The sequence below is a fragment of the Homo sapiens genome, chromosome 4 (assembly GCF_000001405.40).
Source record: "Homo sapiens chromosome 4, GRCh38.p14 Primary Assembly".
Taxonomy (NCBI): domain Eukaryota; kingdom Metazoa; phylum Chordata; class Mammalia; order Primates; family Hominidae; genus Homo; species Homo sapiens.
Window position 1 is genome coordinate 59,854,195 of NC_000004.12, and position 13,379 is coordinate 59,867,573.

Genomic DNA, 13,379 nt, shown 5'->3' on the forward strand with positions numbered 1-13,379 from the left:
TGTAATTAAACCTAGAAATTTGAAGTCACTGGGAAACCACTGAACATTTTTGAACTAGATAATAAGTTAAAATCCAGTATGTTGGTAATACCCACTGAGGAGGCTTATCTACATCGTTTTTTGTTCATAAAAATTTACTTGGAACCTGATGTTAGGCACTAGGGATTCAGTAGTGATAAGTTACAAAATACACCGGTCCTATGAGGGATATATTAGATTGGTGCAAAATTTTTTGCTATTAATTACAATGGCAAAAATCACAAGTACTTTGTACTAACCTGATACTATATACATTGAAAGAGATTTGTAAGATTAGAAGAAATATTTCTATAGAGTTAGTTTTAAGTACGCTATAATTGCATGAAATAATATACTAACCCTGATTTCAGATGGCATTTTTGAAAAATTGAAGGCTTTTTAAAACCTAAGCTGCTATCTCTAATTTCCTATTCTACAATTAATTTCATAATTCTTAAGAAAATCTATGCTACTTTATAGAAAAAGACACTGTTAATAATGACCTCTGCAAATTTATCTAATCCATAAATTTATCAATATTTGCTCCAATCTTGTCACAATTTTTATTCTCTTTTATTTCTTCTCTGCCTTGTTTCTTGATAAATTAGCTTTTATTTCATCTTCTTTATATAACTCATTACATGCTGACATCTTTCTACACAATTATACTCTGATTGCACTTACTAAAATTACTAAGAGTTTAGAAGTCCAACTGTCTTTAACAAATTGATTTATATTCTTTTGTGCATGATTTAACAATTCCTCTCTCTCTTCTTTATATCTTTGTTTTTCTTTTTAATCAAGCTTCCAGGTGCCATCCATGAGTTAGAAATAAATAGGCAAGACAAAAATTATGAGAGAGCAACATTGTTACAAAAGTCAAGAGACAAGGTACAAAGAAGAATTTCCAACTATTACGTATCTATAAATATTAAAAAGAAAAAGATATAAAGAAGAGAAAGAGGAATTGTTAAATCATGCAAAAGGGAGTAGAAATAAATTTCTTAAAGACATCTGGACTTCTAAACTCTCAGTAATTTTAGTTAAGTGTAATCAGAGTATAATTGAGTCCCAAACAAGGTGTCACAGCCCTGGCTCAGGGAGCTCCTACGTCTTGGCTCCCTGAAGGGCTTCAGCTCTTCTCTCCCTCGTGCTGCTAGAAAGGTGATGAGCAAGGAGCATGTTTCAGCCCTATTTGTGTTACAGTTTTCTCAGCCCCACTATTCAGCAGTTCCCGTGTTCTTATCCCGTTCCCAGGAAGAATTAGGTATGTGGGCAAGTGGAGGGTAAGCAAGGTGAAGAGGAGCTTTATTGAGTGATAGAACAGCTCAGAGGACACCTGCAGTGGGTAGCTCCTCTCCACAGCCAGGGTGTCCTGACAAGTGTTCAGCACTCCGCAGAGAGGAGACACGAATGGGTAGGTACACTATGCAGCTGGCCGTCCCAATGTCTCTTCAAGTCTGGCTGAATCCAGGGCTTTTATGGGCTTCAGAGGGAAGTGCATGCTGACTGGTTCCTGGGTGGCCATGGGCAGGCCCAGAAAAAGCAGAGTAAGTTTCCACTCCCGTCCGGGGACTGGCAGCCTGGCCCCCAGGATTCAGGCCTTCTCCCGCTTAAAGGTGGGGTTTCACCAGGGACCCACCCCTTTCCGCCAAGGAGTCTGTCTGCCTTCTACCACTGATAATGGTGCCCAGGATTCCCTCCTGTGCTTGTCAGCACCCAAAGTCTGGAGTCAGCACTGCCCGGAGCTTGCTCACACCTGGCCGGGTTGCAACAGCTTTGATCTTGGCCTCAAATTTGCTATGAGATCAGAGTCGGTGTTGGGAGTGGGGAAAGGGCAGGCAGTGGGAGCAGGCACCTCTGAGCCTGAGAGGAAAGTGAGTCCTTTCCAGTCCGTTTCCAAGAGTGCAGAGGTGCCTGATTCCACAGCTGCAGCTGCACTCAGGAGGGTGGGGCTCCTGCCTGCTCCCAGCCCGAAGAGCATAGGGATGCCCCGGTCCATATCCGTGGCTAGGCAGCAGCAGCTGCACCCAGGGAGTACCCGGCTCCCGCTCTGCCAACTCAGAAGCGGGCAGGGCGCTCGCTGGCTACATGGAGTGCACAGCCTCTACTGCACGTCTCTCACTGAAGCCAGCATTATGGCTGCAGCAGCACCAAACAGACCACTGCTGCCATCCATAGCATTTTTTAAATGTGTTTGAGAGATGGTAGTGTTATTTTCAAGCTAAGCGATATTGGAAAGGAGTAGATTTCGAGCAATGGTAATAAATTCCAAGTTGGCGAATGTTAAGTTTTAGATGTCTGTGAGACATCTCAGTGAAAATATCCAATAAGCAGTGGAATATAAATTTCTTGAGTTGAAAATAAGGTATGGATTGGTTATATTGCTAAGAAAGTAATCAGCAGATGCAACTTGCCTTGAAAATTTCATGCTCACAGTATCAAGTGTGTATTGAAGTTCCATCAGGATGCTGCACAAAAACCTAACCTAAAAAGATAAGAAAAACATGAGATTCAAATGGTCTCAAATCTTTCCTTTTCCTCTTTATTTCTATAAATGATATTACTAAATTTCTAAAGTTAGAAAGTCCAGAGTCATTCTTGACCATCTTTCTTTCAATTATATTAAATAAAAATATCTCAAATTGTTCAATTTGACTTCATCTTCCCTCTCACAGATTTAAATAAATGTTTCATCACTTTAACTACTATTACAGTCTCCTACAGAGTCTCCTGTTTACAATTCATTTCCCAAGTATTATCTTCTTTTATGAATTTCAAACCCTTTCAACTGACTTTCTTCTGCCTGAAATATCTTGATGGAAATTACTCATTGCTTTTTTTCCATTCTTTTTCCTTTCTTCTTATACATTTTCCCCATCTATCTATAGATGTAGACATTTAATTATTTATATTCATTGACCTTTAGAAGGTATGTCATTTATTATGTAATTACCTCAGGATACGGATTTTAAGTAATTTCTACAATAAAAATTTATATCCATAATATCTTTATTAGTGAATTTTTTTAATTGGTACTGTTAGACCTTAATATCAGAAAACTGGTGGCTGATAAAATAACTAACAGTGATTATCTTTATTAAATAAGATGTTTCTTCATGGAGAGATTTTGCAATTAGCTACTTAGTTCAAAAGGCACATAACTAGTGGTGACATGTGGCACTTATAATTACGTGTAAGATTATACACTCATGTATGTTGAAATTTATGTTTAGATATAAAGACATTTATGATTTGATTCCTATTTATTGACATCAACCAGGTTTGAAAAGTTTAAAAGCTAAAAACGACAAGGAATGAAGCTACAAAAGTTGTAGGGACATTCTGAAATAACTACAGTTGTTTAATTTGTTTTAATCAGAGAAGTCAGTAACAACATTAACAAGAAGACCATTAGAAAACAAAGGATTTTTCAACGATGTGGCATTTTCACATGTGAAAATGGAGAAGGATATCATTAAAATAGAAATTTTAGCATATATATTCTAAAATACAAAAAAGAAGCTTCCAAAATCTTACTTAGAAGTTAATCAAGATACTCATAGGTTTTATGTCTGTTTGAATTCATTGAAACATAAATATACTATAATTATTATCACTATGTAGTACTAATTGCAGTTTATCATAATGTATTATACATTAGAAGTTTGCCTAAAAATTTATCTTAAGTGTTCTCACACACAAAAAGTAAATATGTGAAGTGATGGATAGGTTGATAAGCTTGATTATGGAAATCATTTCATAATATATATGTACATTAAAATGTCATGTTTACATTTCAAATATATACAATGTTTATTTGTCAATTGTAACTTAATAAAGCTGAAAAAAATCGATGTAGTAATTATACTAATGATTATATTACATGTATTATATGTCATCCTTAATTGTCATAACATGTTTAAAAATAGTGCCCAATTAAACCTTGATTAGGTGACTCCTACATTGAATTATAGATTTATGTGAAAATAGAAGTTTAAAAAGTAAAGAAAGAAAAAGTTATTTCAGCAAACATTTGTACAACATTGTGCTTATTATGCACTTACATTTGTTTTTAATTAAACCTAAAGAGAATATGAGTTAAATCATATTGCATTACATGAAAATTTATTCATCATCAATCATGTTTTGGGGAGAAATTATGTTTTTTCATGGACATAGGTTAGGACTATGGAACTTCAGCAACTTATTTTTTTTTTTTATTTTTTTGCAGGTTGGAAATCAAGTGATAAAGCTGAGAGACATGAGTTTCCCTCAAGGGATGATTTTACATCCATTTTGAAATATTACATAGATTTCTGTTTCTCTTATATATTTACACCAGTGTTATTTATAAATTCATTTACTTTTAAAATAAATATTAACTGAGAACCTATTTTATACCAGGTACAATTTTAATTTTTTAATTTTTATCATAATAGGCATATATATGTATATATAGTACATGTGGCGTTTTGATACAGTCATACAACATGTAATAATCAAATCAGGGTAACGGGGTATCCTCACTGAAAGCATTTATCATTTCTTTGAGTTAAGAACATTATAGTGTTTCCCTTTTCATTATTTTAAGACATACTCTGAATTATTGACTGTAGTTACCTTGTCAGTACTATCAAATATTAGACCTTATTCTTTCTAACTACATTTTTGTACCCATTAAACATCCCACTTTCTCTCTTCCTCCTTGCTATCCTTCCCAGCATCTGGTCAGCATCATTGTACTCTCAAACTCTATGACTCCATTGTTTTAATTTTTAGTGCCACATATAAGTGAAATAATATAAACTTTGTATTTCTCTGCCAGGCTTATTTCACTTAACATAATGTCCTCCAGTTCCATCCATCCTGTTGCAAATGACATGGTTTTATTCTTTTTTATGATTGAATAATATTCCACTGGGTTTATGTATCATATTTTCTTTATCTGTTCATCTTTTGATGGAAACTTAGGTTAATTCCAAATCTTGCCTATTGTGAATAGTGCTGCAATAAACATGGGAATGCAGATACCTCTTCAATTTATTGATTTCCTTTCTTTAGGGTATATACCTATCAGTGATATTGCTGAATCACATGGTAGTTCTATTTCTAGTTTTTTAAGAAACCTCCATTCTGCTTCTCTATAGTGGCTGTAATAATTTATTGTCACCAAGAGTGTATGAAGTTTCCTCTTTCTCCACATCCTCACCAACATTTATTATTGTCTGACTTTTTGATAAAAGCCATCTTAACTGGGATAAGATAATATCTCATTGTAGGTTTGATTTGCATTTATCTGATAATTATATTGCACATTTTTATATACATGTTGGCCTTTCCATATGTCTCCTTCTGAGAAATGTCTATTCACATATTTTGCCCAGTATATTATTTTTCTTATTGAGGTGTTGGGCTACCTTGTATATTCTGGTTATTGAACCCTTGTCAAATAGGCAGTTTGCAAATATTTTCCCTCATTGTTTAGGTTGTCTGATCAATTTATTAACTGTATCCTCTGCTGGAGAGAAGCTTTTTAGCTTGATGAGATCCTATTGGTCCATGTTTATTTTTGTTGCCTGTGCTTTTCAGATATTACTCAAGAAATCTTTGTCCAGACCAATGTCCTGGAAAGTTTCTGCACTATTTTTTTCAATACTTTCATAGTTTCAGGTTTTAGATTTAAGTCCTTAATCAAATTTTGATTTGATTTTTGTATGTGATGACAGATAGGAGTCTAGTTTCATTTTTCTGCATGTGGATGTCCAGTTTTCTCATCATTTATTGGAGAGACTGTCCTCTCCCTGATGTATATTCTTGGCACCTTTGTTGAAAATGTTGTAGATGTATGAATTTATCTCTGGAATTTCTATTCTGTTCCATTGGTCAATGTGTCTGTTTTATGCCAGTACTGTGCTATTTCAGTTAAAACAGCTCTGTAGTATAATTTAAAGATGGTAATGTGATTCCTCCAGTTTTGTTCTTTTTGCTCAGGATGGCTCTGGCTATTCCGGGTCTTTTGTGGTTCCATATGAATTTCAGGACACTTTTTTTATTTCTGTGAAGAATATCATTGGTATTTTGACTGTAGATTGCTTTGGGTAGTATGGATATTTTAACAATATTAATTATTCCAATTCATGAACATAGAATATCTTTACATTTTTGTGTCCTCTTTAATTCCTTTTATCAATATTTTATAGTTTATATTGTAGAGATATTTTACATCTTTGGTTAAGTTTATTCTTAGGTATTTTATTTTATTTGTAGCCTTTATAAGTTGAGTTACTTTTATAATTTTTGTAGATTTTTTCTTTGGCATATGGAAATGCTACTGATTTTTGCATGTTGATTTTGTATCCTACTACTTTTCTGAATTTATCAGTTCTGATAGTTTTTTGAAGGAGTCTTGATTTTGCTAGACATTAGATCATATAATCTGCAAAAAGAATAATTTGATTTATTTTCAATTTGAATACCTTTATTTCTTTCTCTTGTCTAATTGCTCTAGTGGTAACATCCTTGGATAAATCCCACTTGATCATGATAAAGGATCTTTTTATTGTGTTGTTGCTTTTGATTTGCTGCAGTCAGTTGAGAATTTTGCATCTGTCTCCATCAGAGATACTGGCCTATAGTTTTTATTGATGTTGTTGTATCTTTGTCTGGTTTTGGTAGCAGGAAAATACTGGCCTCATAGAATGAGTTTGAAAATATTTTCTCCTCTTAGATTATTTGGAATGGTTTCAGTGGAATTAGTATCTGTTCTTCTTCAAATGTGTGGTAGAATTCAGGAGTGAAGTCATGGGGTCCTGAACTTTTCTTTGATGGGAGATTTATTATGACTTGAGTCTTGTTACTTGTTATTGGTTAATTTTGGTTTTAGATTTCATCATGGTTCAATATTGGTAGGTTGTATGTGTCTAGGAATTTATTCATTTCTTCTAGGTTTTTCAATTTTGGCATATAATTGCTTATCTTTAATGATCTTTTGAGTTTCTAGGTTATCAGTTATAATATCTCCTTTTTCATCTCTAATTTTATTTGGTCTTCTCTCTTCTTTGTCTGGCTAAAGTTTGGGTTATTTGGTTTATTTTTTCAAAAAACCAAGTTTTTCAATAATCTTTTCTATTTTAGAATTTTGTTTATTTCTGCTCTGATCTCTATTATTTATTTTTTCCTATTAATTTTGGCTTGCTTTTCCTTGTCTAGTTCTGTAAAACACATTGTTAGGTTATTTATTTGAAGTTTTTATTCCCTTTTGATGTAAGCATTTACTGCTATAAACTTTCCTTTTAGTACTGATTTTTGTGTATCCCATAGGTTCTGATATGTTGTCTTTTCATTACTATTTTTTTCAAAACATTTGTTAGTTTCCATCATAATTTCTTTATTGACCTACTGGTCGTTCAGGAACATTTTGTGTAATGTCTGTGTTTCTGTACAGCTTTCAAAGTTCCTCTTGTTACTGATTATTCCATTGTCAGAAAAGACACATATCTTAATTTTATTTTTTTGAATATTTTGTATCACCTAATGTATGGTCTGTATTTGAGAGTGATCCATGTGCTGAGGAAAAGAATGTATATCCTGCAGCTGTTAGACGAAGTATTCTAAAAGTATCTACTAGGTTCATTTGATCTATAGTGCAGATTAAATCCAATATTTCTTTGTTGATTTTCTGTTTGGATGAGCTTTCACTGCAGAAATTAGGGTGTTCAGGTGTCCAGCTAGTATTGTATTAATGTCTATCTCTCTCTTTAATTTTAACATTTGTTTTATATATCTTTGTGCTCCGGGGTTCAGTGCATATATATTTACAATTGCTATATCTTCTTGATAAGTTGGTCACTTTATTATCACAGTGATATAATTTTACCCTTCTTTGTCTCTTTTGATAGTTTTTATCTTAAAATATCTTTATCTGTTATGAGTATACTTACTTCTGCTGTTTTGGTTTCCATTGCATGGAATATCTTTTTTCATCTTTTTATTTTAAGTCTATGTGTGTCTTTCTAGTTGAAATTAGTTTCTTGTATGTAGCGTATTGTTTGACCTCTTTTTTAAAAATTTATTCAGCCACTTTATCTTTTGATTAGATAATTTAGTTCAGTTACATTCAATGTTATTATTGATACATAAGGATTTATGACTGCCATTTTGCTATTGTTCTGTGGTTATTTTTTGATTCTCTGTTTCTTCCTTTATTTCTGTCTTCTTTTCTGTAAACATTTTTTTTCTGGCAGTATGTTTAATTTCTATCTTTTTAAATTTTTGTGTATTTCTTGTACTTTTTTGTAATTTGAAGTTACCATGATTGCAAGTAATATTTTATAACCATTTATTTTAAATTGATGACAACTCAACTCTGATTACAAAAAGCAAACAATTGAACCAACAAAGGGAAAACTAAAACTTTACACAACTCCATTCCTCCTACTTCTTGTTTATTTCCATTTATGCTTTTTTATAGTCTCTATCCCTTAAGAAGTTATTGTAATTATTGTATTTTATGTTTTTTTAATTCTTCCCACTCAAGATGTAAGTAGTTTACACACCACAATTACAGTGTTAAAATATTCTGTATTTTTCCAAGTACTTACTGCTACCAGTCTATTTTGTATCTTTAGATGATTTCTTATTGTTCATTAGCATCCTTTTCTTTTAGATTAATACATTCTCTTTAGCATTTCTTATAGGACAGGTTTGATGTTAATGAAATTCCTCAGCTTTTATTAGTTTGGGAAAGACTATTTCTCCTTCATATTTGAAATATATGTATATATATTTTTTCTAGATATAATATTCTAGAAGAAAAAAGTGTTTTTTGTTTGTTTGTTTCTTTTATTTAACAAGTTGAATATGTCATGTCATTCTCTCCTGGCCTGTGAGGTTTCCACTGAGAAGGCTGTTGTCAACATACTGGAGATATTTCTTATGTCATTTGTTGTCTTATATTGCCATTTTTGAATCCTTACTTTATACCTAACATTTAGGACTTTGATAATTAAATGCCTTGAGGTAGCCTTATTTGTGTTAAGGTCTCTTGAGGTTCTATGACCTTCTTGTATCTAAATATTTATAACTTTCTCTAGAACTGAAAAGTTTTCTGTTATTATTTCTTTGAATACATTTTCTTACCTGATCTCTCTCTCGATATATATATAGATATATCTATATATATAGATATATCTATATATATCTATATGTGTATATATATAGATATATCTATATATATCTATATGTGTATATATATACTCTTTAAAGAGTACAGCCAATACCTCTTTGATTTGCCCTTTCAAGGTTTTTTCGATCTTGTAGGCATACTTCATTATTTTTTTCTTTTTTTCTTTTTTCTCCTCTGTGTATTTTCATATAGCATGTCTTCAAGTTTACCTATTATTTCTTCTGCTGCTGAGTGAGTCCTGAGCATTTCGTACTTTTCCAATTGAGTTTTTCAGTTGCAGAATTTCTGCTGGTTTTTAAAAAATTGTTTTAATCTCTGTTAAATCTCAATGATAAGATTCTGAATTCATTCTTCATGTTATCTTCAAGTTCTTTGTGCTTCCTTCCTCAAAACAGATATTTAAAATTCTTTGTCTAAAAGGCAACTTATCTCTAGCACTCCAGGATTGGTCACTGTTGCCTTATTTAATTCATTTGGTGGAGGTCCTTTGTATTCTGGATGTTCTTGATGCTTAGTGGATATTCACTGATATCTGAGCATTGAAGTTTTAGATATTTACTCTAATTCTTAGTCTGGGCTTAGTTGTACTCATCCTACTTGAAAAGGCTTTCCAGATATTCAAAATAAATTGAACAATGTGAGTTAACTCTTGGTCACTGCAGCCATATCAGCTCTAGGGGACATCCTAGGCCACGTAATGCTGTGGCTCTTGCAGACCCCTAGATGTATTACCTTGGTGGATTTGGATAGAATCCAAAATAATTTCCTGGATTACACAGCAAAGTTTCTTATTTTCTTCCCTCATTTTCCTCCAAACAGAAGTCTGTCTCTGTATGTGCCACAGTGTCTGGAGTTAGGGAACGAGTGATGCAAGCAGTTCTGTGGCCACTGCAACTGGATCTGTGATGGATCAACTTGAGTTCACCACGGTACTGGGTATCAGTTAAGTCCTGTGAGGACTACTACCTGGCTACTGCTAATGTTTATTCAAGGCCCAAAGGCTCTTTTGTCAGCAGGTGGTGAATCCTGAGAGAACTGGGTCCTTCCCTTCAGGGCAGTGAGTTCCCTTCTGGCTAAGGGTTTATCTAGAAAATGCCATCCAGGAGCTAGAACCTGGAATTGAGAAGTTCAGAAGTCTGCTTAGTGTTTTATTTTACTATGGCTTAGCCAGTACTCAAGTTTTAAGACAAAAAGCCCTCTGTACTCTTCCCTCTCCTTTCCCCAAGTGGAAAAATAATAATAATAATAATTCTCCCTTAGCTGTGCTGCCTGGAGTTGGAAAAGGGTCAATGAAAATACTCCTCTGGCCATTACAACTGGTGTCTCCGTGTCACAGGCACTCCACATCCATTGGCTCCAAGGCCAGAGGAGCATGAGGACTTCACCAAGGACTGCAGTCCTTTGTGGCCTGTCTTCCAAATTTATTCAGGACCCCAGGGCACTTCAGTCCATTGATGGTGAAGCTAGCTGAAACTTAGCTTCCTTCCGCTGAGACAGAGGATACCCTTCCGGTAAGGGCTGGTTTAAATGCTCTCTCCATGGGCTCTGGTGAAATTCTGCCCTGTGTTGCCTTCCATTGTGACAGAGTAGCACTGAGTTCCAATGCAAAATCCCAGAATCATTTGGCTCTCCCTCCACATTAAATACACAGATTCTCTCTCCTTGAGGCACTGCCAAGGGATGGGCAAAGGATTATGTAGGCAATGTAAGATTGTCTTTCTACCCTCTTCAGTCCCTTTTTCCTTGGTATGATGTTAAAACCAGGTTCTGTGATTTCTTACCTGATTTTTGGTTCTTATGAAGGTGCTTTCTTTTATGGATAGTTGTTCAATTTGGTGTTCCTTTTGGGGGATGATTGTTGGATGGTTTTATTTGGCAATCTTGCACCACTTTCTCTTCCCCTGGTACAATTTCATGTGAAGAGAACAAAATAAAGAAAAATAAAATAAAACTTTGCTTTCATAAATCTTATATTCTAAAGGGAGGTATACATAAAATAAATAAGTTAAACATATAATGTGTCAGACTGTAAAAAGTCATTGGGACAAAATAAAGTATGAATGATGCTGATGAGAAAGAAATAGGAGAGTTTATATTTAAAATGAGATGCTTGGAGGATAACTACTGAGAAGACAGCATTGAAGCAAACTTCCAGGAAATTAGGCAGCAATTCCTGTAGTTACCTGGGAGAATGGTATTCCAAACAGAGGTACAGCAGATTCAAAATCTCTGAAGCAGAGATCTTGGTATGTTCAATAGCAGCAAGTTGATCAGCATTGCTGGAAAAAAAATGAAGGAAGAGAAAGAGTAGTGGAAGATAAAGCTAAAAAGTCAACAGCAGCTATAACATGAGAACCTTATAGGTCATTAGCATTTTGTGTAAAAGAAGAACAGAGTAACAATGACCTAACATATGCAGCATATTATTCTGACTTCCATGTTATTTATAGATTTGGTGTTGGTGGTAGAATAGGAAGCAAGTATGTGAAAATGGATATTATTAAGAGGCTATTGTAATAATTCAGTTAAGATATTTTAGTAGTTTGGCTTGTGATATTAGCAATGGAAGTAGCAAGAATTGTTTTGATTCTGGATATTTTTTAAATAGTGCCAAAATTATAAGCTATTTGGATGTGAGAAGTGGAAAAAAAAAAGAAATCAGGAATCAAAAACGACAGTCATTTGGCCAGCACAACTGAAAGTGGCTCTTCATAAGGAAAATAAGACATGATATATGTTACAATGAAATATTTGGTTTGGTCAATGAGCTATATGTAGTAGAAGTGTGAGCCTCAAATATCTGACACAGGTCTCAGTCAATTTAGAAATTTATTTTGCCAAAGTTAAAGATGCACACACGTAACACAGCAACACAGCCTCAGGAGATCCTGACAATATGTGTCCAAGGTGGTTGGGGAACAGCTTGGTTTTATATATTTTAGAAAGACAGGAGACATCAATCAATAGATGTATGATGTACATTGGTTTAGTCTGGAAGGATGGGGCAACTCAAAAAGGAGAGGAGGCTTCCAGGTCATAGGTGGACAAGAGACAAATGGTTGCATTCCTTTGAGTTTCTGATTAGCCTTTCCAAAAGAAGCAATCAGGTTTCCTTTTATCTCAGTGAGCAGAGGGATGACTTTTGATAGAATGGGAGGCAGTTTTGCCCTATGCAGTTTCCAATTGACTTTTCTCTTTAGCTTAGTAATTTTGGGGTCCAAAGATTTATTTTCCTTTCACAGAAGTCATACCATTAAGACAAATGAAATAAAGATAAGCTAATGACTGAAGAAGTGGACATTTCAATTTGAGAGTATTGAGGCGAGGTGGTTTCTGGAAATAAGATTTAGGAAAATGCTGCCCAAATAAGTGAGCTTAATTTTTCTAAAACTGAGAAAATAATATGAGGAACAGGATTGGGGAAAATGATCAGTAGTCCATCTTTTATGTATCTTAAGTTTGAGTTGCCTATTACTCATGCAAGAGGAGATGTTTAGTAAGCTATAAAATATGACTTCTTATTATATATTTGATATTTAAAGCCATTGACCTATATGTTAACAAAGTATGAAATAACGAAAACAGATGCTTTAAGGACTGGAGCTGGAGCAATTCAAAGTTTTGAGGACTGAGAGATGAGCAGAAACCTTCAATAGGGAAAGAGAAGAAGTGGAGAGACAAAAAGGAGAGATTTTTGATCCAAAATTTAAATACTGAAAGTGTTTCACTTGATGAAATATTGTAAAAGTTGTTAATAGGCTAAGAAATACTACCATTATAATTTACCCTTGTATTTAGCAATGTGATGAATAAGAGTGAGAAGAGCAGTTTCTAGAAATGATGGCCACAGTAGCCAGAATTTATCACATTCAAGAAAAAATGAAAGGGGAGAAACTGGAAGACAGGAGTTAATATTTTTCAAAGATGGCAAGTTTTAAAAGAGAATGGAGAAATGAAGTTAGAACAGGTTTTATTTGTTGCTTGGTTTTTGCTTGTTTAAGAAAGGCCGAATTTCTTGTGGTCTTATATGCGAATAATGTTTACTCTGGAGAGAGAGAATAGCAATAAGAAGTACTGAAGCAATGTCTTTGATTTGGTTTGAGGAAATGACATATAAGTAGAAGCGTGTGATATGGTTTGGTTCTGTGTCCCCACCCAAATCTCATCCTGAATT

At 34.0% G+C, this 13,379-nt stretch overlaps 1 annotated feature.

Moving 5' to 3' along the window:
• Window positions 1,371-1,872: an enhancer, noted in NCBI's record as "H3K4me1 hESC enhancer chr4:60721283-60721784 (GRCh37/hg19 assembly coordinates)". NCBI's record gives its function as "activates a minimal SCP1, AML or CMV promoter by ChIP-STARR-seq in primed H9 embryonic stem cells {active_cell/tissue: H9 hESC(primed)}" and the evidence as "EXISTENCE:reporter gene assay evidence [ECO:0000049][PMID:30033119]".